The 25,298-nt window shown below is 37.1% G+C and overlaps 2 protein-coding genes across 6 annotated transcripts in view, besides 5 other annotated features; one reads left to right on the top strand and one right to left on the bottom strand.

Moving 5' to 3' along the window:
* Positions 1 to 25,204, bottom strand: part of SCYL2 (SCY1 like pseudokinase 2) — a 74,539-nt gene extending 49,335 nt beyond the window's left edge. For 3 of the 5 annotated variants that reach the window (NM_001330256.2, NM_001330254.2, NM_001317784.2), the window contains exons 1-3: positions 24,985 to 25,204; positions 9,234 to 9,438; positions 721 to 878 (exon numbers count right to left, since the gene is read on the bottom strand). Coding sequence is in view for 4 of the 5 variants with exons in the window: in NM_001330254.2 (NP_001317183.1) it covers positions 721 to 878; positions 9,234 to 9,410 (335 nt within the window). In the remaining variant the exon portion in view is untranslated. Of the gene's footprint in view, positions 1 to 720; positions 879 to 9,233; positions 9,439 to 24,588 lie in introns of all 5 variants that reach the window. The other 2 variants (NM_001330253.2, NM_017988.6) reach the window with 1 other exon arrangement.
* Positions 3,143 to 3,343: a silencer, noted in NCBI's record as "peak1911 fragment used in MPRA reporter construct". NCBI's record gives its function as "represses an SCP1 promoter by STARR-seq MPRAs in K562 erythroleukemia cells {active_cell/tissue: K562}" and the evidence as "EXISTENCE:reporter gene assay evidence [ECO:0000049][PMID:32103011]".
* DEPDC4 (DEP domain containing 4) overlaps positions 10,409 to 25,298 on the top strand; it is a 50,338-nt gene continuing 35,448 nt past the window's right edge. Inside the window, exon 1 of the mRNA XM_017018783.2 lies at positions 10,409 to 24,574. The gene's annotated coding sequence lies outside the window, so the exon portion shown is untranslated. The remainder of the gene's footprint in view (positions 24,575 to 25,298) is intronic.
* Positions 24,570 to 24,629: an enhancer, noted in NCBI's record as "active region_6858". NCBI's record gives its function as "activates an Ori minimal core promoter by ATAC-STARR-seq in GM12878 lymphoblastoid cells {active_cell/tissue: GM12878}" and the evidence as "EXISTENCE:reporter gene assay evidence [ECO:0000049][PMID:35858748]".
* Positions 24,640 to 24,709: an enhancer, noted in NCBI's record as "active region_6857". NCBI's record gives its function as "activates an Ori minimal core promoter by ATAC-STARR-seq in GM12878 lymphoblastoid cells {active_cell/tissue: GM12878}" and the evidence as "EXISTENCE:reporter gene assay evidence [ECO:0000049][PMID:35858748]".
* Positions 24,780 to 24,859: a silencer, noted in NCBI's record as "silent region_4766". NCBI's record gives its function as "represses an Ori minimal core promoter by ATAC-STARR-seq in GM12878 lymphoblastoid cells {active_cell/tissue: GM12878}" and the evidence as "EXISTENCE:reporter gene assay evidence [ECO:0000049][PMID:35858748]".
* Positions 24,960 to 25,009: a silencer, noted in NCBI's record as "silent region_4765". NCBI's record gives its function as "represses an Ori minimal core promoter by ATAC-STARR-seq in GM12878 lymphoblastoid cells {active_cell/tissue: GM12878}" and the evidence as "EXISTENCE:reporter gene assay evidence [ECO:0000049][PMID:35858748]".

Below are 25,298 nucleotides of genomic sequence, written 5' to 3'. Positions count from 1 at the left end.
GGCCAACAGGGCCACAGGACACAAATACCAAATGATCTGATTAAGATTTTCTGAATTAAGAGAGGGGAATACAGTCTGCTGAGAAAGAAGGAAGAAAAGCATAAATTTGGGTTATAAGTAATGTCGAAAAGGTTTATAAAGCTAGCGTATCTAAAGGAGTATTAAAAGTGCCACAAGCTTGAGAGTCTAGTTAAGATTACATAAATTTCATTTTCTTGTCACTCTCACTAACACTTCCCAAGCTCACCCTTGAGAAAAATAGATGGTAAAGTAACTGAGAGCTATGGACTGGCATGCTAGGCATAGTAGAAGGTTAAGTGTCTGAAACAGTAGTTGGCACACACACAAAATTGGCCTCCAAATACTGTATCAATGAAAAGGAGACAAGAAATTCTAGCAAATTAGCAAGGACAGCTACTTTCAGGCAAGAACTGTATTCTATACCCTTGTATGTTCTATTTTGACTATTGTAGTCATGAGCACAGGGTAGCCACTGAAGTACAGAATCATGGCAAAAGTAAAGAAAGTATTAATATTTCAAAGAGAGACATATACGTAGACAATGCAAATAAATTTTAGGGAGAAAACTAATGCATAAGAACTCAACACTTAGAGTATAAGAATTTTTCACTGACAATACTTGAAACAGATTTCAAATATAAAATTATTTTTAACTATTTGTTCAGGAAGTCTACTATGTAAGTTTTTGTAAAAATTTACCTGGATTCTTCTAAAGGATGCTGGACAGTAAGAAGTCGAGGGTGTCGAAGCCGAGTTAACTGTTGGACTCCTCGTTTTAGAGAATCAATGATTTGATCCTTTTCAAATTTTTGATACTTGTCAATCAGTTTTTTATCAAAGACAAAAACTGCCACTTCCTAAATAAAAGAATTGTGTAATTTTAGTCAAGAAATATAGAAAAGTAATAAAATTATATGAATGTCACAATCTACAAATAACTATGCCATAAAAATTTTAGCACCATTGTAATACTTTTCTGATATCAAAGAGTTGGTTTCCTTATGATAGTAAATCTAAACATTTTAAAAGGTGTAAAACCTAGAGTCCTCATCTAAAGAACACAGGAAAAACCTTACCTTTGAATTCTGCTATCACAGGTACATATTAATTGTGTACAATATGTTGTTTCCTGTGTAGTAATCTCTTATGGACACAGAATTCAAAGAAAATGTTTAAAAATTTAAAATGTAACTTACAATGATAATCGTGAAGTATACTACAAAATCTTGAAATGCTTTTTGAAAGAAAGGTTGTAAGTCAGGGAGTACTTGTTTGTAAGAAAAATGAATTTGTAGTATCTTTTACATATGAATAATCTATATTCTATCTCATACCTTCCTATCCCCCATCTTGTTAGGGGCAGTAAATGTAAACGGTTACTAGTACAGGGACTTGCTCTCCCACCACCTCTCTTTGAAATCATTCACAGCTTATTTTATACTACTAAAAGCACACATCCTCCTTACCATCTTCTTCCTTTCATTATTCCTCAGATACCCAAGGAAAAACAGTTCTCATCTAGTTACCCACTCTTAACAAATCAATAAAAAAACAGCTCTACTGATAGGTGATGTGTTAAATTACTGATGTGTGTTCTTGGTAATAACGCAAAATAAACTGGAAACGAAATTAGCAAAGAATGCTAGCCTTCCAAAATTCCTTGAAAGATTTAGAAACTCTTTCAGAATTTCTATGTCTTTGAAAGCCTCAAATTAAACCTACTGCTACTCAACTATCAATATCCAAGACAATTAGTTTTCTATTTTATTCTCATTTTTTTCTCTTCTAATTATTTTCTTCTGTTCTGCATTTTTGCTACATTAGCATTATTATTTTCATAAGTTAGCCTGGCAACTCAACCATCTCATAGAGATTCACTGCAAAAAGTCCAATCCAATAAATTTCTCAAACATAACTTGTAAAATGAGGGTTCCTTATGTATATAAATGAGTTAAGGATATTAGAGGAGTAAGTCTCTGAAAAGTGGCAACAAAAAGGAATTATTTAGCACTGTAACTCAATTAAAACACAACGTCCCCCCAAGCATTTGTGAATAAGGCAGCATTTACTACAATAAAACAACAGAGGATGTATCTATACAGCACTCAAGACACTGGCATTAGATCAGAGGAGCCTTTGAGTCAATTTCCCTTCAACTGACCAGCTGCCTTTGGGCAAGTTTTCTCAACAGAAAAAAAAAGAATAAATAATAGTATGAATACCTCAAAGGACCACTGAAGAATAAGTGACACAGTAATATAAAAAGAACTTATTGTAATACCTGACATATTCAATTAATGTTAGCTAACGTCGTTACACCACTAACATCAAGACTTGTATTTTGTTATTTTTCTATTACTGATGAGTTTTCTGCTGACACACATCTGATCAATGACACATACATATGATCAATGACACACATTCAAGACCCATGGTCAAGAATCAACTTTGAAAGACAGAGATTCAACAACCTGTCAACTTGATAAGGAACATTAATATACTAAGCTAAACAAAATGATGTGATATAAACCCAATACCATTCCCATGTCACACAGAAAAAAACATGCAGCATAAGAATATAACAGTGATCAAGAGCCCAGTTTCCAGAGTCACACAAACCTAAAATGAAATTTCACTCCTCCATTTATTATGTCGACCCTGAACTCAAACCTTGGTCACTGTTATTTTCAGACCACAGTCATAAAAGGAATGAGATAAAAAATGAAAATATAATACACTCTACAGCTAAAGTTTCAGGCATTAGTCTACTAGAAAATCTTACAAATAAAGAGGTTCCCAAGTCAACTATTTATATAATAGAAATAACAAGATAGCATTTGCGTATTTATATGTGCCAAGCATTGTGCTAAGTACTTTTCAGGAATTATTCTATTCCTCACAGAAACCCTACGAGACAAATATTATATTAACTTTACAAATGAGGATGTTGTGGAGAAGATAAATGTTTTCTAAGATAAAAAAAGTCAAGTTTCAAACAGTTAGTCCACAGGACTATATTTTTAGCCAAGACATCATTCTGTCGCCCCAGAAATAACACAGGGAAAATACGGAACACCAAAGCAAAACACGATGCATGTCTTCAAGAAAGAAATCAGTCATTTAGGCTGAGTAACAGCTTTAAATAGCACTCATATAAACACCTAATCTTAACTCCTGATCATTACGAGGCACAGGACAGCCAGGAGGTAAGAGTTTTACATAACACTAATTCGAACTAAAAACAAATGACCTAAAACTTCAAGTTCTCATCTTGCCATTCATGTGCACAATCTTATTTTAGTAAGTCTTCTGCTATAACACATTTTATAAATGTATCCAATTTAAATGTGTTATGGCCGGCACGGTAGCTCACGCCTGTAATCTTTGCACTTTGGGAGGCCTGGGTACTCCAAAGTGTCCAGCACTTTGGAGCCTGGGCAGCACAGTGAGATTCCATCTCAAAAAAAAAATTTTAAATAAATAAATGTTTTATTTTTCAAGTCTTTTTTTTTTTTCTTTTTTTGAGACAGGGTCTCACTCTATTACCCAGGCTGGAGTGCAGTGGCACAATCATGGCTCACTGCAGCCTCCACCTCCTGGTCTCAAGTGATCCTCTCACCTCAGTCTCCCGAGTAGCTGGGACCACAGCCACACACCACCATGCCCAGCAAATTTTTTAATTTTTTTGTAGAGACGAGGTCTCACTATGTTGTCCAGGCTGGTCTCAAACTCTTGGACTCAAGCAATCCTCCCACCTCAGCCTCCCATAGTGTTGAGATTACAGGTGTGAGCCACCGTGCTCAGCTCAAGGTGTTCTAAGTATATATAAAAAAAGGACTACATGAAATAGCTCTTGCAGTTTCACCACAAGTAAAGAGGAACACTATAGTTCACGAAGAAAAAGAAAACACTGGCTGGACATGGTGGCTCATGCTTGTAATTCCAACACTTTGTAAAAATGAGGCAGGAGGATGGTTTGACGCCAGGGGCTTGAGACCAACCTGGGCAACACAGTAAGGCCCCATCTCTTAAAAGAAAAAAAGAAAAGAAAAAAAAACTCACAAAATTCTCTCAGATAGTCCATTGTTTTACTTATCAAAGATAAGTCCTAAATAAGTCAGAAGAGGTTATCAACTATCTTAAAAATATTTTCTCTTTGTTTCAATCAGGTGATTAAAATTAACCAATGTTAACAAGGTTGTGTTGTTAATCCTCAGGCCTCATACTGACTTCCTAAAATAAAACTATTACACTGTACAAAGCCTTTCATCAGAATACATCATAATCTAATTTCATTTTTCTTTTACTACTTTTCTATACTACCCACTCTGCTAACACACATCATTTATGCAAAAGTCCAGTCACCTTATATATATTACAATCCTCTTGAAGAAAGAAACAACGTCTTATGTGCCTCTGTATCTACCACAGAACTCAGCAGTTATGCCTAGAAGATACTCAGATGTCTATTGCTTACTGATAGTAAATAAAGATAAGCAATTAAAGCTTTTTATTATCATCTTTAATTAAAATATTTTTTAACTTTTTATTAACAAAAATTTCAAATATACAGAAAAGATCAAATAGCACAATCATCCAGTATGTCTTCTGCTTAAGATTCAACAACTGTTAACTGTAGTTAAATTGAGGGTTTTTTAATACAAAAAATTATTAGAACAAAATATAAGCAATATATGGTATCCTATTATTTATTTATTCATTGCAGATTCTTTAAAAACACTGGCAAAGAAAGACACTTACTAAAAAGTATTTTTTCTCAATAGCCTAATTTAAACAAAAAAGGCTACGGAAGTATTCTAAAAGACTGTAGTATTTGTCACAATACAGTGTATGTCCCATTTGATACAGACCTAATTTATAATTTTTAAGAGCTACTTGTGAGCCAGGCATGGCGGCACACGTCTGTAATCTCAGTTACTTGGGAGGCTGAGGTGGGAGGATTGCTTGAGCCCAGGAGGTCAAGGCTGTAGGCTACGGTTGTGCCTGTGAATAGTCATTGCACCCCAGCCTGAGCAACATATTAAGACCCCCTCTCTGGAAAACAACAACAACAACAACAACAACAAAAACCAAAGAAGCTATTTTGCTTACTACAAAGTTGAGCTCTGTTGATAACAAGATACTTAAGTAATAAAATTTAAATTACATGATTTATAGTAATGTGTCTCGATTCTCTAACAGCGATCATGACCTCCACTAATCTAACCCTCAGAGGCACCAGAGGTGGCTTTTGGAACACAGATGTTCCCTGAGATCTCTATTTTATGGACCCCCATGACTGGCTGGTGGTGACTGTCAAGCATCACACACTTCATTTTTCATCTGATTTTGGGATAATGTTCCTTCTTCAAAACAGTAAAGCAAAATATAAACTTTTATTTATATTAAGTTAAAAATAAGTTGCTGAGAAGAATGAAAGGTAAAAACATATACCCCTTAAAATTACTAGTCTATGATCATCTTTTGTCTAAGTGACATGACTAGCATATTTGGCTTCACATAAAAGTTTCCTTTATTTTAAAACTATTAATTATTCTAATTTAATTATTTATTATAATTTAATTATGCTTTTGTATATACAATATTAGCAAGCCTCATCCATGAATACTGGCATCTGGATAACACAATGTATATTTTGTAGTAAGGAAGGGATTACGTCCAACCCAACGTTTGGTAGAGTGGATAAGATATGAACAATTATTTATCATATAATAATTATTAGAAATCAATCAATCTTCACTATCCTCACAGAAACAGTCATTTCAGGGAGGTGTTATGAAGCCCCTGAAGTAGGGCAAAACTATCAGGTCAACAAATACAACTTTTAAAGCCAACTAACACAAACCTACCCTATTTTCTTTCTTTTTTTCAAGAAAAAAGGTCTACTGCAAAAGCAAATATAAAAAGTCATAATAAATGTAGGATACTAGAAGACTACTCATAAATGTTAAATGAATCAATTTTGAAGGGTAATTCCTTGACAATACAGAATCTTATGTCAAACTAAACAGAAGTGCTTAATAAATAAATGCTTAAATATCCCAAGACCAGGCAAAATTACATATATAAACATACACACATACACACACATTTTTTTAAACATCCTCTCCCAAAATAAATCCCTTAGCTTGATATTTGACAGTTGAAAGAAATTTCAAAATCTAGAATTATTATTCTACTTGAAAGGAGGTAAAAATTAGGCACTAGGGACATAGCTGAGACAGAAATTAGATGTATATGGTGTTTTATTAGAAATTATTTAAACAAATTAGCAGCCTTGATAGTCATAATATTCCTACCTAACAGATAACAGTATTCCAATTTTTAAAGGACATACATGTACGTATGTATGTATGTATACGGTAAACATTTATCATTTATTATATATATAGCTTGGCCAAAATAAAAATTTCCATCTTTAATGGCTAGTTTAAATAAAGTATAACTTAAAAATTAGTAAAGTCAATGAAATCCAACCAAGAGCATTTGCCTCAGAAATACCTCTCAAATAAGTATTTACAACAAAGAACATAACAATGTTTGAAAAGAATACCTATATTCAAATGACCATTTTAAGCCTGAAAACATGAAACTGTGTAAAAAGACTAAGTCAGTTAGAAAGCTATTAACAGAAATATAATGGTATAAATTCTATGTTTGAATTACCTATCAGACATTTTTAAAGTTCAGAAGAGAGGGGAGCAGGGAATATTTCACTGAATTTTCAAAAATTAGATAAACCCTCCACCCAGAATGTCTAAAATTAAAAAGACTATATAACAAGATTGGCAGGGATGTGAAGAAACTGTAACTGCTGGTGGAAGTGTATACTGGCACCACACCGGAAAAATTATTTGGCAATGAACACATACACTACAACCTAGCAATCCCACACCTAGGTAATGCGTCATATGTGCCAATGGCACATACAAGAATGTCTACAGCTATACTCTATCAATGAAAAGAAAAACTGCATTGTTCAACAACACAGATATAGCTTATCCATATACTATTAAGGAAAAGGGATCAAATACAAGAGTATATACAAATGCATTTAAATAAAGTTCAAAAACAGGCAAAATTATTCTAGTGTTAAAGGACAGGGTAGTGGTTATCCCTGGAGAGAAGGGGGTTAGGGATAATGACAGGAAAGGACATGAGTATTAGCAGTGTTTTTTTTATTGGTCCGGATGCTGGTTACATGGGTGTATTCACTGTGAACATTTATCAAGCTGTACACTCATGATTTGTGCAATATTCTATAATATGCTGAACATAAGTTATTAAAAATAAGTTTATATTTTAAAAATTAATCAGACCACACAATTTTTTTTAGACAGAGTCTCCCTACATTGCACATGTTGGTCTTAAACTCCTGAGCTGAAGGGGTCCTTCCACCTTGGCCTTCCAAAGTGCTGAGACTACAGGCGTGAGCCACCATGGCTGGCCGACACCACAGTTTTTATTCTCTAAATATTACCTGGAGATGTCTTTAGCATCCCTGCTGAGATTCCAGAAAAAAATAATAGTGAGAAACTAAGAGCTGCTTCTAAATGAACACTCAAAAAAGAAACTAGGCCGGGCGCGGTGGCTCATGCCTGTAATTCCAGCACTTTGGGAGGCCGAGACGGGCGGATCACTTGAGGTCAGGAGTTCGAGAGCAGTCTGGCCAACACGGTGAAACCCCGTCTCTACTAAAAATTCAAAAATTAGCCAGGCATGGTGGTGCACGCCTGTAGTCCCAGCTACTTGGGAAGCTGAGGTGGGAGAATTGCTTCAACCTGGGAGGCAGAGGCTTCAATGTCAAGGTGCTTAAGGACTTAGCTATTCTTTAAAAAATTAACCAGTAGTAAAGACAGGATATTCAGTTCTGACCCTTGCAAGTTGAAGGAGGCAAAAAAGAAAATTTGAACCTATATCCACTGAGCTCACTGGTGTACCACCTTTAATTCCAAAGCAATAAATACAGAAAAAAAGTGCAATGTAGAAAAGTTCCCTAAGAAAATCCAGTGCTGATAGTCAGCAGTTGAGAATGGTGTTCTATCATTTGTGCCTGGTTCTCATGTTCTAGAAGCTCCAAAATCATCAGGAGATTTCAGCATATGAACTACTGATATTACCACAACTACCTAGAACCTTTCTAGTTACGCACAGAGATGCTATTATATATTACCACATCCTTAATAAAAATGTCTAATTTTATAAATTTGTTATTTTGTTTTCCCCTTATATAACTGATTGTAAAAGCAATTTGTGCTAGAATCAGAGGAGGTTGTTCATTTACAAAACTCATGACCTCATTAATAGTTTTTAGGTAGTCAATACTCAAGAAACCATTTACTTTTTTGGATGAGCTTATGGTGAATTGAAGAAAAAAGCAATGTTCAAAAGTAACAAATCGATCAGCATTTCAGATGCAGATCAACTCTGAATTTCAGTAAAGACTTCCAAATGGCAATAAAAACAAGACTTAACAGGTTGAATACAAATGACATACCAGCAATTTATCATAGGACCAAGATTCCTATTTCATAAAAGGATAACCAAAGCCAATTCAGTCTTCAATGTACTTACCTGGGAAATAAGCTAACTTCGGAAAAGTAGCAAATAATGCATACCCACAATTGTATGACTGTGGTAGTCATTGGGAGGTATATATAAGAAATCCTTTACATTTTACAACCCATATATTTCACTTGTAGGGAAGTAAAAGACTTTTGAAAACAGTGATTTTGGCCGGGCACGGTGGCTCACGCTGTAATCCCAGCACTGACTGCACTAAGACGCACTTAACGTTGAAAAATTTAACTGGGTATTTTGCCAGTAACATATTGACAAATATGAAAAGAAAATTTAAGAAACACGGCAATTTCTATCCTAAAACATATGCTTCACTAAATATTACAATCTAATATACTCGTTTGCTCAACTGACATGTTTATTAAGTAAGCAAAATTATATTTCAAGATGATATGGTATGTCAAACAGTATATGTGTAACCAGGAGATTCAGAGCATGTTTAAAAGCATTTGTTTTTTTGTATGACTTAATAAGATAAAATGAGAACTAAAGAACCCATTTAAGAACCTATTAAAGAACTTTTGGCATTTCTTAACATAAAAATGCACACATGCATTTTATGGTTCTTAGCATGTGGGTTTTTTCCAAGTGGATGCTGAATTAAAACTCACCTGCTTTGTTGACTTTTTTGTGCCATTAAAAATCTTCCAAGCTAGCCCATTGCCACCACTGGCAATGTGTCGACCAACATCAAATTCTCTAGTGACAGGATTTCCCATTACAGCACTAGTGACATCAGCTGTTACTTTTGTAACAGTACTCTTCAATTTATTAAGCATGGACTCCATGGCTGCAATATTGGGTAGTTATAGTTACCTAGAAAAACAGAAGGATAGTGGAGAACTGATCATTTCTTATCTATATAAGCATTTATTCATAGTTTAATTTGAAAAGTGTAAGATCTCCCAAACAGTGAACAGAATAATCCTATATAGATGAAAGTTGTATGTTGGTTTTATCTTCAGAGAACCCAATACACTTTAGTACAAATTTAAGTCCAGAAATCAAACTGCTCGTTTCAACCTCAGTTCTCACTGACCAGGAAAAGATATACTCACACTTGACAATGACATTAAGAAAGAGAATGAATATTGCTCAACTGTATAACATGGATCCTTTAAGACTTAAAGTGGGGGATGGGCATGGTGGCTCACGCCTGTAATATCAGCACTTCGGGAGGCCAAGGCAAGCGGATCACCTGAGGTCAGAAGTTTGAGACCAGCTGGCCAACATGGTGAAATGCCATCTCTACCAAAAATACAAAAATTAGCCAGGCGTGGTGGCAGGTGCCCGTAGTCCCAGCTACTTGGGAGGCTGAGGCCCAAGAATCACTTGAACCCAGGAGGTGGAGGTTGCAGTGAGCCAGGATTGCGCCACAGCACTCCAGCCTTGGTGACAGAGTGAGACTGCATCTCAAAAAAAAAAAAAAAAAAAAAAAAGACTAAAAGTGGGTTTTGTGGGGTTTGTGGGGTTTGGGAGGCTGAGGCAGGAGGATCACTTGAGACCAGGAGTTCAAAATCAGTCTGGCCAATGTGGCGAAAAACCATCTCTACAAAAATTACAAAAATTAGCCAGGCATGGTGGCGCGTGCCCACAATCCCAGCTACTAGGGAGACTAAGGTACAAGAATTGCTTGAACCCGGGAGACAGAAGCTGCAGTGAGTCAAGAGTCGAGATCACACTACTGCACTCCAGGCTGGGTGACAGCACCAGACTCTGTCTCAAAAACAACAACAACAACAACAAATATAGGAGGTCTGACTCTCACTTCACATTAAACATTTATTCTTATTTTTTCTTTTTCCACCCCTTTTCACAGGTGTTGATCACTTCACATTAAAAACAACAATATACAACTTAAAAGATGCTAACACTTTACACTTTACTAAGCAATAAATTTGTACTTTCTTTTTTTTTTTTTTTTTGAGACGGAGTCTAGCTCTGTCACCCAGGCTGGAGTGCAGTGGCATGAACTTGGCTCACTGCAAGCTCCGCCTCCCGGGTTCACGCCATTCTCCTGCCTCAGCCTCCCGAGTAGCTGGGACTACAGGCGCCCGCTACCACGCCCGGCTAATTTTTTCTATTTTCTAGTAGTGACAGGGTTTCACCGTGTTAGCCAGGATGGTCTCGATCTCCTGACCTTGTGATCTGCCCGCCTCAGACTCCCAAAGTGCTGGGATTACAGGCGTGAGCCAAAGCGCCCAGCCTATTTTCTTTATTATTATTTTTCTGTAGAGACAGGGTACTGCTATGCTGCCCAGGCTGGTCTCAAACTCCTAGCCTCAAGTGATCCTCCCATCTTGGTCTCCCAAAGTGCTGTGATTACAGGCATAAATAAGCCACCACACCTAGCCCAAATTGGTATTTTATAAAAAGTTTTGTTATTAAAACAATAATTACATTCAACTATGAAATCATTTAAGAATATTTCCTAATAAAGAAGCATTCAGGCTTGTAATCCCAGCACTTTAGGAGGCTGATGGAGGTGGATCACTTGAGCTCACGAGTTCAAGACCAGCCTGGGAAACATGGAGAAACCCTGTCCCTACAAAAAATTCGAAAATTAGCCAGGAATGGCAGCATGTGCCTGTAGTCCCAGCTACTTGGGAGGCTGAGGTGGAAGGATCGTTTGAGCCCGGGAGAGGGAGGCTGCAGTGAGCTGAGAAAGCACCACTGCACTCCCGCCTGGGTGACAGCCAGGCTCTATCTCAAAAAAAAAAAAAAAAAAAAAAAAAAAAACACTGATGGTAAAGGGACAATAAAATACACATAAGCATACAGTCAGAAGATTATTTTTAGAATTTTACATAGGTTTGTTATTAATGACTAGTGTCATTAATGAATACTTATCATTTAATTGGTAATTTTTAATAAGCATAATGATCAGTAGTTGTTACAGGTTGAATATTTATCCTAAATGCTTGGGACCAGAAGTGTTTTGGATTTTTTTATTTTTTCAGATGTTGGATGCTTACATTATATACTTACTGCCTGAGCAATCCTAATTCAAAAATCCAAAATCTGAAATGCTCCAAAGAGCATTTCCTTTAAGCACCATATCACTGCTCAAAAGTTTCAGATTCTGGAGCATTTCAGATTTTTGGATTAGGGATATTCAACCTGTATTAATAATTAGTAATTGCCAGGCTTAACTTTTCTCCTTTGGTAAATTAAAATAGACTCTAATTGTGATGATGTCTGTTGACATCTTTAGTTGAAGAAAGTTAAAGGAAGCTTTCTTCAAACTAGAATGTCTGCATCTCTAGGGTTACATGAAGACTTTTCAGGGAATACATGGGCATAGACAGTTTTAAGGTAGCAGTTCCTAATCTGGAGTCAGGTAAAGACTTCAAAGAGAATTAGAGGTATTATTAGGCCCCCATACTAGGTTTTATTATTGAATGCATTAAACATATATAAAACCATTTTGTAGTTATGAAAATGTTATTACAATTATTTCAAAACAATTTTTTCTATACATTTTATTTCATACATTTAAAAATATTACTCTAAGTAAATAAATGAATAAATAACTTCTGCCCATGAGGGAGGAACAAAGAGTGAATCTGCCCTCTTGCTTTTAACAACTAGAAAACTGAACAAAATGTATTAAACACATTTTTTCAGACATTGAACAGGCAGCAAGAGCCTTTGACCCCAGTAAGAAAGAGAACAAGAGAACCAGGATTGCCCCAGAGGCACATTCCAAACTACAGAGCATAGAGCAGAATTCCAAGTAGCTATCTAGCTGAATTGAGAAGCTGGAGGGACAAACTGGCATTCAAGAATGCGGAGGTAGATGAAAGTTCTGAGATACAATTTCAAAGTGAATGAAGCTATGCTGAAGAAAATGCAAACTGGTCCCCTTCATGCTCTGTTCCCTGGTCCCACACATGCTTATGCATAGTGTGACACTCCACCAGGTCTGGCAAGAACCAAACTAGAGAGCTATCAGTTGAATAGTTTCAAAGTTCACACAAGGCTGCAAATCATTTGATATCTCATCAGCCAGAGTAGTGAGTCTTCACTGACCACTAAGACAATCAGCAGAAACCTGTAAGAACCATGCCTTAATAGTGGGGTAAGCCACCCTTAGAGTAAAAGCTAATCTAAATCCACTCTAAAATCAATTATCAAATGACCAAAGTAATCATAAATTACTAAACAGCCTACCAGAACAAAACCCAATAGTCATGAAAGACACATAACATGCACAAAAAAATTCAGATACTAAACAATGTAACATTCACAATATTCAGCAGGCAATCAACAACTATCAGACATGCCAAGAAGCAAGACGATGTGACTTATACAACAGTAGACCCCAACCCCTAGGCCGCCAGATCAGTACCAGTCCACGGCCTATTAGGAACCGGGCTGCAGAGCAGGAGGTGAGCGGTAGGCGAGCAAGCATTACTGCCTAAGCTCCGCCTCCTCTCAGATAGGTGGCAGCAATAGATTCTCAAAGGAGCCTGAACCCTACTGTGAACTGCACATGCAAGGGACCTAGGTTGTGTGCTCCTTATGAGAATCTAACTAATGCCTGATGATCTGAGGTAGAAGAGTTTCACCCTGAAACCAAGCCTCCCATCCCCCATCTGTGGAAAAACTGTCTTCCACGAATCCGGTCCCTGGTGCCAAAAAGGTTGGGGACTGCTGCTATACAAAGCTCCAAGAAATTAAATAAACCACACACAGGATAAACACAAAGAAACCCATACATAGATATACCAAATAGCTGAAAATCAGTGATTAAAAGAAAAATCTTAAAAGCAGCCACAGAAAACAAGTAAATTACATATAAGAACAAAGATAAGAATTTCCTCAGACTGGCCAGGCGCGGTGGCTCACGCCTGTAATCCCAGCACTTTGGGAGGCTGAGGTAGGCAGATCACAAGGTCAAAAGATGGAGACCATCCTGGCAAACATGGAGAAACCCCATCTCTACTAAAAATACAAAAATTAACTGGGCATGGTGGTACGCGCCTGTAGTCCCAGCTACTCAGGAGGCTGAGGCAGAAGAATTGCTTGAACCCGGGAGGTGAAGGTTGCAGTAAGCCGAGATCACGCCACTGCACTCCAGCTTGGCGAGGGAGCAAGACTCCATCTCAAAAAAAAAAAAAAAAAAGAATTTCCCCAAATTTGGCAGAAACAACACATGCCAAAGAACAACTGAATGAGGTCTTTAAACTGCTAAACGAAACTGTCAGCCTAGAATTCTACAGGTTGGGGAAAAAACTTTCAAAACTCAATGTGAAATAAAGACATCTTCAGAAAAACAACAGATAATCACTATAAAAACTATTAGAGATGGGAGGATCACTTGAGCCCAGCAGTTCGAGATGAGCCTAGGCAACACAGTAAGACCCCATCTCTACAAAAAATAGAAAAATTATCCAGGTATGGTGTCATCTGACTGTAGTCTCATCTACTCAGGAGGCTGAGGCAGAAGAATCAATTGAGACCAGGAGGTGGAGGCTGCAGTGAGTTGTGATTGCACCACTGCACTCCAGCCCGGGTGACAGAACAAGACCCTCTCTCTAAAACAAAACAAAACAAAACAAAAAAAACTTAAAGTTTTTAAACCAGAATAATAAAAATAAAAAATGATGTGGGTATATAAAATACTTTTCACGTCATAATACCTTTAAAAGATAGCTGATCATTTAAAGCAAAAATAATAAAAATGTATTGTGTTTATAATATATGCAGAAGAAACTGTAACAAGAAAGAACAGGAGGGGAAATATAAGTATATTTTTTAAAGATCCTTACATTATATTTGAGGCAGTACAGTATCATTTGAAGGCAGGTTGTGGTATTTAAAGTTAAAAGATATATACTGTAGACCCTCAAATAATAACAAAATAAAAATAACAACAAAATAATAAAGTGATATAACTAAATTGTAGAGATAAAATTTAGTTAGTAAAAAAAACCCTAAAGTAAACTGAATATAAAAAGAAGCGGAAAAGAGGAAGGAACAAAAAACAAATGTGGCAAATACAAAATAAATAGCAAGATGGTTGACTTAAATCCAACCATATCAATAAATTACATTAAGTGTAAATAATTTAAAATTTCAATTACAAGGCAGAGATTATCAAATTGGATAAAAAAGCAAGACCTAACTATATGCTGCTTACAAAAACCCACTTTAAAAGTATAAAAACACAGGTAAAAGAATGTGAAAGTATACCAAGCTGGAGTGGCAATATTAATAACAGAATAAGCTTGAAGACAAAGAAGTCATTTTGTAATGACAAAGTTGTCAATTCACCAAAAAGACATAACAATACTAAATCTGTACACACCCAATAAGAGAACTTCGAAATAAATGCAGCAAAAAGTGGCAGAACTGACAGAAGAAATAGACAAATTCATAATTATAGTTGGAGACTTCAAGAGTTCTCACTTAGTAACAGACACAGACGAAGCAGAGAGAAAAATCAGTAAGGACAGAGACTTCAACAGCACTATCAAACAACCTGACCTAAAACACACACTCTACAAATGACAAATTGTTTTCATGCAGACATGTAACATTCACTAAAAATGGTTTTCATGTAGACACGTAACATTCACTAAAATGAACTATATGTTGGGCTATGAAATAAGTCTCAAAATATTTATAACTACTGAAATAATACAAACGATTCTCTTTGACTACAATAAAATTAAACTAGAAATCAATAATAGATTAAAATATATAGAAAAACTGCAAATATATGGAAATTAATCAACGCTTTTAAATAATCCAAGGGCTAAAAAAGAAATCACAAAGAAATTTTTAAAATATTTTGAAGAGAATGAAAATGAAAATGAAAATTTGTGGGTCATATCTAAAGCAGTACTTACAAAGAAATCTATAGCTGTAAATGTTTATATTAGGGAGTTTAAAAGTCCAAAATAATGGTCTAAGCTTCCACCTTAGGAAGCTAGAAAAAGAGAAAATTAAAATAAGTAGAAGAGGAGGAATCAATGAAAGAGACTGAATTTAATGTAATACTTTATTTAATAGAGAAATGAAAAAGAGGAAAAAAATCCAATGAAGTAAAAAAAAAGTTTTGAAAAGATCAATGAAATCAGTAAAACTCTAGCTATATTGATCAAGAAAATTTTAGCAAGGTGCAATGACTCATGCTTGTAATCCCAACACTCTGGGACACTAAAGCAGGAGGATCACTTGAGCCCAGGAGTTCAAGACCAGCCCGAGCAACATAAGGAGACCCTGTTTCTACAAAAACAAATAAAATAAAATGTGCAGGGCATAGTGGTGTGTGCTTATGGTCCCAGCTACTTGGGAGGCTGAGGTGGAAGTATTGCTTAAGCCTGGGAGATCAAGGCTGCAGTGAGCCATGATTGTGCCACTCTCCTCTGGCCTGCGTGACAAAGAGTGGGATCCTATTTCAAAAATAAAAATAAAAAGAAAGAAAATAAAAATTTTAAAAGACACAAATGACCAATAACAGAAATTCTACAGATTCTAATTCTAAAGCTTCTAAATGAATAGGGTATATCATCAAACATTTAAGGAAAAAAATCATACCAAGTCTACACAAACTCTCCCAGAAAATAGAAGAGGGGAGGATACTTTCCATTTCATGTTATGTAGTCAGCATTACCTTGACATCAAACCAAATAATGCAATGGCAATAAAATTGCAAACCAATGTCCCTCGTTAATATGTAAAAATCCTTAAGATATTAGAACATCACATCCAACCCCACGACCAAATGGGGTTCACTTCAGGAATGCAATGTTAATTCAACTTTTAAAAATGAATCCATGTAATTCACATTAACTGAATAATGAAAAAAAGCAAGATAATCTCAGTAGAGGCAGAAAAAAAACTGACAAAATTCAATACCAATTCATAATAAAAACTCTTAGGAAACTAAGAACAGGAAGGAACTTCCTCAACCTGATAAATAGCATCTTTGAATAATTACAGCTAACATTATATTTAAAGATAAAATACTAACCACTTTTCTCCCTAAGTTTCAGAACAAGGTAAGTATACCCACTTTTACCACTTCTATTCAATATTCCAGTAAAGGTCCTAACCAAGGCAATAAAGCAAGAAAATGAAATAAAAGGCATTCGGACTGCAAAGAAAGAATACAATTTATTCCCAAATGACACAACTGCATACACAGAACATCAGAAGGAATCAATCTACAAAATAGCTATCAGAATGAATACATGAGTTTGGCAATATAGTAGAATACAAGAACAACATATTTGAAAAGATTGTATTTCTAGGCTGGGCATAGTAATTCATGCCTGTAATCCCAGCACCTTGGGAGGCTGAAGTGGAAGGATTGCTTGAGTACAGGAGTTTGAGATCAGCCTGGGTAACATATCAAGACTCCAAAAAGTTTTTAAAAATTAGCCAGGAGCAGTAGCACATGTCTGCAGTCCCAGCTACTCAGTAGGCTGAGGTGGAAGGATCACTTGAACCTGGGAGGTTGAGGACGCAGTGAGCTGTGATCACACTAATGCACTCCAGCCTGGGTGACAGGGTGAGACCCTGTCTCAAAAAAAAGAAAAAAAAAAGAAATTGCATTTCTATGTATTTCTACTAGAAAATTTAAAATTTAAAAATACTGTTTCAAGGGTATGAAATACCTATGAATAAATTTAACAAGCTATGCAAGATCTATACAATGAAAACAAAATACTGCTAACAGAAACTGAAGAAAACCTAAATAAATGGAACGATATATACTGTGATCATGAATTGGAAGATTCAATATGGTTAATGTGTCAGTTATCCCCAATAATCTAGAAACTCAATGCAATTCAACCAGAATCCCAGCAGGCTTTCTGTAGAAAGTGACAAACTGATTCTAGAATATTACTGTGAGAAGGGATCCACAGGCTTTACTAAATTGTCAAAAGGGTCTATGGCACAAACCAAGGTTTTAAAGCCCTATCGCTCTCCAAATTGTCAACTTCCAGGTGTACTCTTTCCTAAAATTGATTTGCCTGAGAACAAGTCTATGTCCTGAAGATTTTCCTTAACCACTTCTTTGTTCACAATTTTTTCCCACTTGACTAAAACAAAGTATTTCTCTCAGCCATCCCAGTGTTACTGTAGGCCATTTTCCTAGGTGTAAAAAAATTTTGTGGGAGGAGGGGGATGCAATCTGTAGATTTAATTCTATGAGAAAGCCACTTAAGAGTAAAGCACAAGGAAGTTTGATAAGAAATACTAAAGGAGGCTGTACCTTGCTTCTTTCAGGACAGATGTTAATAACAACAAGAACCCACGCCTTATCTACCACAGAACTACAGTTAAGAAGATGGTTGTCACAGAGATATATAGGAACACATTTATTTCAATTGATAAACTCCAAGGTTTTGATAAAGTAAAGCACTATCACAATATACGACAATTTAGAAATTAGATCTTTTGCAACTATTTAAACTCTTGACAAAAAAACTCCAGCTGTGATCAACTTAAAAAATGTGCAAGAGGAGCACATGTTATTCAAAATTATTGGATACACAAGCAAAAATATTTGAAGACCACTGATCTCAGGTAGTTTGTATCCTGTTTTCTCTATTAACGAAATTATACTTATGTAAATATAACCCACTTTCTTCTATTAAAGATTTGAACTGTCTGTAAATGGAAATGGAGACTGACTTTCCCTTTTTAATTTAATGCTGCATTTTTGTAAGCAGCTAGAAAATGTTGCTACTGGCATTATGAAAACATTTACTGGCTATGCCAAGTTGTTCTCTATGAACATCTGCTGTTGATTTTGACGGGAAGGTGAAAGGATACAAAATTCTATTTAAAACCATACATATCTATTCCTCTAACGCTGCCTGACAAGCTATATATTAAATGCCGTGCATCTTGTTATACACTGAGAATACAGAGGTTCTTCTTTTTAGGGACTCCGTCCAATAGCAGACTCAGTCCTCCAAAGAGTTACAGCAATTAACTTGTGGTAAGAATGTACATGCTATGGAAATATTAAGATGGGCTCAAAACTATAAAGTAAGGGGGGAAGGAGTATTCCAGAAGGGATTATAATACCACGTGCCAAGATATGTAAGGGAGGAAGACTATGGTGTGGTCTGCAAACTACAGTTACATATGAAAACAAAGCATATTTTCAGAATTGATATTCAAATTTGAGATGCTATCCATCATCCAGAGTCAACACTGATGTACGTATGGCAAAGAACAGGCATGGAAATTCATTTGGTGGTTTAATATTTACTGAGTATCCACTATGTATCTGATACCATATGAGAAACTGGGAAGGAAGTAAATGAAAAATAAGCTATGAAAAATCTTACATCAAAGGGAGAAGACAGACAAGTAAAACCACCACAGCACTAGCCTACAGAGTGATAAAACGCTACAGAATATACATGCACAGTGTTATAGGAACAAAAAGAAGAGGAATAGAATGTTTCCCAAAAACAGTAATGCTAGAGGAGTAAACTGGATAGAGAATAGGAGAATTGTAGGAGTAAAATCACAAAGCAAAAACCAAGTTCAGTTAAAAGCTGAAGAAAAAGAAGAAAGTATGGCAAAGGAGGCTAAAAAGCCAGATCACCAAGGACATTGAGTAGTAAGAAATCAAGCTATGGAAGCCACAGAAGGGTTTCAGGCATCAGTAAGATGATCAATCACTCTATCAAGCAGAGTGAAAGATATACTAAAGGTGGAGGCTGAGAATATGGCAAGACTGAAGAGAACTTCAATATGCAATTCAGGGATATTTATAATTCAGAATATATAAAAGCAAGAAAATAAAGGAAATATGGTCAAGGAAGATAGAGAAGAGATGGTGGGTAAAGGAGGTATTTCAAAGGTGCTAGTTATACAGATATTTATTTTGTATTTACATGTTAAACTACGTTATATACTTTTATGTGTTATATTTCACATTTTAAACAAATTTTTAAAGGGAGAAGCGTTGCTGAATTACAAAAATAGCAGTGAGAAAGGAGAAGAAAGGAAAAATTAAGAAACAAGTTAAAACCAAGAGAAGAAAAGAACGAAACTAAGAATCCTACCCCACCCCCAATTTCACAGTCTAGGTGGAAGGTGAAGCCATTTACCAACGACATATAGAAGCCAGTTGTTTTATAGGGGAAGAACTCAACTTGGACATGTAGAATTTGAGCTGCCTGAATGACACTCAGATGGAGATATCTAATAGGTTTTTAGACATGCAGGCCAAAAACTTAGAAAAAACCGTCCAGACTGAAAGTAAAAATTGGTGCACGATGAGCCAGTATGGTAGACTATGGCCTTGAAAAATATCACCCAAGAATACCATGAAAATTACAGAAGGCCAAGGACAGAGTAATCTCCAAGGAGCCTGTAAAATAAGACCTGAACTTAAACGAGATTTTGAATTATTAGCATAGCCATTTGACATATAAGAAACCTAAGAGTCCAAATACCTTTTCTTAAAATGATAGCTTTTCATTTTTCCTTTGATTAATGAAGAAAAAAGCCTATATTTTCCAATGACAAAGTTATAAATGATGGAAATTCTTAGTCATGTAAGGCATTTCTCATTGTACACCATTTATTATAATTCACTTGAAATTCAATCATCTGCCCTTCCTAAATTTCAGCCAAAATAGGATTTGGGGTAGCTTCAGTATGATTCCAAGACTGTGTATCTCTCTACCATCTAGCTCAGCCATCACCTGGCTTTCAATAGAACCAGCATGTGAATCTGTTGTAATACTAGATTTTACGTGCACCTGGCAGAAAGTAGGATGAGTATTACAGCATCTGACAGCAGGTAGCTGAAAGGAACTGGCAATTCTTTCAGTCCTGCCTGCTCATGAATTCTAGATACAGCAAGAAATGTAACAGGTAAAATTATATTTATGCTTAACAAAGACTTCCTGAATTTTCAAATAACATGACTACAAACAGTCCTATACTTCCCCAAGAATATATTTTTACTTTTTTCCCCAGCTTCCCAAGCTTACAATCCCAAGAATAAAATATTATAAAGCAGAATGAGCTTCCATTTTTGTTGAAGTCACTGCAATGCAAATAAAAGGCTTACCGTAATTACATCTGGCAATGAAGTTACATTTAATAACTTTCAGTCTCATGGCACCTAGCAGAGACTAGACTTTCAAAAAGCACAAAATAATAGACACTGACTACAAAGAACAACAATATAAAACAAAGAAACTCAAAATAGTTTGCTTTATCCCTTAAAGGGGCACAAAGGTCTGAGATTTGTATGTAAATGCCTGAAAATAAGAGAATACCATTTATATCATCATTTATAGTTATTCAATGAATTTTTGTAATTCTAATTAAGAATTACATTCAAGAATTACATTCAGAAGACATGAAATACGGTTAAATACTTCACAAAATCTGGGGGAAAATACGTGTGCTTATACTCCCATATGCAGTACTTACCTGTTTGTATCTAAAGAAAGATGATCTTAAGATATATTCTCTCTCTCTTTTTTTTTTTTTTTTTTTTTTGCTGCTCTGCAAGGAGCAGGGCTAACTTTAAGGCCAGAGTTGGCCTTAAGATGTATTCTTGAAATATACATTTCTGCTTGTGGGAGCACTCAGAGATTACTAGAAGTTTTTTAAAAGAAAGTTTTCAAAAACTGGATAATGCTCTTCTTTGTTCTATACAGAAATCATGTTTAATCTTATACAGAACAAAGATTAAACCAGCTGAGTATAATCATTCTCTTTACAATTACAAAGAGTATCTAATTATCAGACATAGTTAAGCCAGAACAGATTACAGAAGACAAGCCTGATTTTAAAAACGAACATAAAAAACTGAAAAGACTTAGCAATGTACAGCCAAGTTAGTACACAAATTATTGGGTACCTACTAGATGAAAAGCACCATGCTAAATGCAGGGGGAGAAACAAGAAGTAAAACATTCAGTTTCTGTCACTGGTCACAAATTTTAAGACCACTGTACAATAAGATTTAAGATTTAAAAAGCAACATGAGGCCAGTGGCTCATGCCTGTAATCCTAGCACTTTGGGAGGCCAAGGCAGGAGGATCACTTGAGCTCAGGAGTTCGAGACCAGCCTGGGCAACATAGTGAGACCCTGTCTCTATGTAAATAAAAATATTAAAAAAAAAAAAAAAAAGAAAGCAACATGAAATTTCAGGCAACATACGCTTAAATATCAAATTAGTAATTTAAACAATAAGTAAGATCTGAGGAAAGATTACATCCAAGTTTTTTGAAGCTACTTCCAGCCCATGTATTTAGTGAACTATAGTTTTTACAACAAGAAGTTAATCAGATTCTTGAAATTATTGTAATTTTTTTTTAAAGCAGTAGCAGAGGGGTGACAGTTTCTCACTATTCAGGCCTTCCAGCTAGAGAAGAGGGACAAGGAATAACTGAGTAGGAAATTAGATTAAATGATCACTTCCTTAAAGTCTACAGTTCTTCCTTAATTTAAGAAAGTATAAAATCTCGGCCAGGCGCGGTGGCTCACGCCTTTAATCCCAGCACTTTGGGAAGCCGAGGCGGGTGGATCACGAGGGTCAGGAGATCGAGACCCTCCTGCCTAACACGGTGAAACGCCGTCTCTACTAAAAATACAAAAAATTAGCCAGGCCTGGTGGTGGGCGCCTGTAGTCCCAGCTACTCGGGAGGCTGAGGCAGGAGAATGGCGTGAACCTGGGAGGCGGAGCTTGCAGTGAGCCGAGATCGCGCCACGGCACTCCAGCCTGGGTGACAGAGTGACACTCCGTCTCACAAAAAAAAAAAAAAAGTATAAAATCTCAAATACAATGTATGAAAACAAACTCATAAAACACAAGTACTGTCTAAGACAGTGGTTTTCAAATTCTGGTGAACATCTAAATAACCTGGATAACTTCTTAAACCACATAGATGCCTAGGTAGTATCTCAAACCTTTGGAATCGGAACCTATAAAGGTGAAGTATATCTGTATCCTGAGAAAGCTCCGTAAGTGATTCTGATGAACAGCAAAGTGTTAAAATTAAGTTACATGGTTAAGTACACACTCTTCAGTGGTAAGGAAATCTGAGTTCAAATGCCAATTCTAATATTTACTAGAGCCATCACCAACTAACTACCCACCCTAACACTATTTCTAATCTACAAAAAGGGGAAAAGCTAGCTATACCTCAAGTGATTGTTATAAGGATTAACAGTGATGATAAGATAAAATGTTTAGTACAATTCTTGGCCCATTCAGTAAGCATTAAATGAATTCATTCATTTAATAAACATTCAGCACTTACACATCAGGAGATGAGGAACATCTAATTAATTTATTAAGTATTAATAAACATGACAACTCTTCAATGGTGTGGTAAGAACATATAATCAGGAGAATGTATTCTAATCAGGAAAGTCTTCCCTGAAGTGAGCTGAATGATGAATAGGCATAATTGGCTAAAAAAAGAAAGGAAGGGCATTTCCAAGCAGAGGAAGTAGCATAACCAAAGCCACATACTTGAAGCAGGAGAACAGAAAAGACAGGGTGACTAGGGGAGAAAGGGAATGTCAGAAAGCACAGTGGAGATGAGTTTGGAAAGGGGACCGACTATGCAGGGCTTGTAGGGCATGTTAATGTGTTCGATTTACTTAAAAATGGTGAGAAGCCACTGAAAGATTTTAAACACTAAGACAATGTTATTAGGTCTGCATTTTGAAAAAGTCACTAAGTCTTGTTTGGAAAACTACAGGAGACCACAGTAGATGCAAGCAGACCATAATCAGGAGGCTACGGAAGTAGTCAGGATGAGAGATGGTGGTGGCTTGGAACAGGACTACTGTTACAGACGAAGAGCAGACAAGAGTCAAGAGATATTCAAGAGGCAAAATCAACAGGACTTCATGAGAGGCTGAGTATGAAGCACGACAGAGGAATTGTCAAACTTCAACTTCTATACAAAGGAATGGATAGTGATGCTACCCACGGAGTTAAACACAGTAAGAGGAGCTATTTTTCTTCTTGGGGTGGGGGAAGGGAGGTATATCATGAATTTCAAACATGTGAATATGAGTAGTTATTCCCAGTAACAGGGTTGATCTGTCTAGAAAGTATTCCACAGTATAGAAGTACAATGTGCCTGTATTTATTTTACTGGGTATTTATGAATCTTAGAGACAAAATAGGTTTCTGCATGTGAGTAATGTAAATCTAAAGAGAATGAAGGCCCTTACCTTCCATTAGGTTCCCTTCCTTTACACAATCCCCCAAAAGCATTCTTTATGATTACAGTTTAATGTTGCCTCAAGAAGTAATTTATATACTCAGCTGATTTCATTTTTAAATATTTTAAAAATATTTGTGCTAAAGAATAAGACAGCAAACCAAACAACAACAAACCTGCAAAGTCCAAAAGGAATCTTCAAGCACCTGACTTTCAAGCCATCACCAGAACATAATGGGGTTTTACAGTGGCAGGCTGATTTGGAGCATTTTTGCTAAACTATTTATTTTTCAGAACGGAGATAGGCTACTTAGAAAACTCACTCATAGTATCCAATGTTTTTAGAAAGTGTCATCACAAATAATTCCTGAGTTTGACGTACTAAAAAATAGTTGACACCTTCCAATGAAGTCACTACAGGCATAGCGCTTTTAAGCAGCTTGTCTGGAGCCTCCTCGAGTGCCTTAGAGGGTGGATTTGATAATATGGCCTCCTTAATTACGGATCACAGGTATGTGCTCAAAGTCCAATAAGTTTTTGCAAGCTTTATCGGTCTAAACCCTCCTCCATCCGTATTCTCCCGTTTAGAAAAACAAGACTGCAGGAGTAACCGTGGGGTTTTTTCTCTTAACAAAACCCCTGCCCCACCCACCTCACACACAATAACCTTCCATTCCAGAACTAAAGCTACTGTCAGAGAAGGACGGCGGGCGGCAGGGCCCTGGCTGGTGACCCAGGCTACCGGATTCCGGACCTCAGAACTGAGGTGAACTCTCTCACCCGGTCCTAGAGTAGTGTCCAATGTCCCCGAAAGGTACTACGTTCTCCACCACCGAAACCCGAGCTCTCGAGCCGGCATGGGGGGCTCTCCCTCCGGCAGCTGACTTCGATCCCGGGTCTCCCGTCGCCTCAAGGCCTCTTTCGAGGACTCGGCCCTCTCGGATCCGCTCCCCGGAGCTCGCTGCTCGTCCAGCCCCGCTTTGCGCGGGCGCCGACCGCCGATCGCCCGGCCGGCCGCCGGCAGGCCCGTCACCAGGCAACACCCACCAGCCTGAGCGGCCCTGGGAGGCCTAACCCGGGCGCGAGTCCTCCATTCCCTCCTCGCCGGCTCCGGGAGCCCAGGCGAGAGAGCCGCCGGTGAGGGAGGTCGGTCGGTGCCGGCGGCCGGTCACTTACCTCTTCCTTCTTCCAGGAGGGGCGGTGCTGGGGCTCTTTCCCCCCGCCCCCCTAATAAACGCCTCCTGGCTGTTCCTGCTCTGCCTTCGTGCCTGGCCACTGACTCTGGCTTTACTCCATATCCTCCGCCGCCCCCGCGGCCGCAAACGTCGGAGCTAGAAGGAAAGGGGTGGGGAGGGGAGGGACCGGGGACGAAGAGTAAGGGAGGGGGAAAAAGACTAAAAGACCTGCCGGCCGGGGGCATGACGTCACTTCCTGCCGGTTCGGAAGAGGCGGAGCCAGTACTTCTCTCCGCCCCGGGTGTCAGGTGGGGC

Source organism: Homo sapiens, chromosome 12 (assembly GCF_000001405.40).
Source record: "Homo sapiens chromosome 12, GRCh38.p14 Primary Assembly".
Classification (NCBI taxonomy): domain Eukaryota; kingdom Metazoa; phylum Chordata; class Mammalia; order Primates; family Hominidae; genus Homo; species Homo sapiens.
Note: the sequence above shows the minus strand (reverse complement) of the source record. Positions and strands in the feature narration are given on the sequence as shown.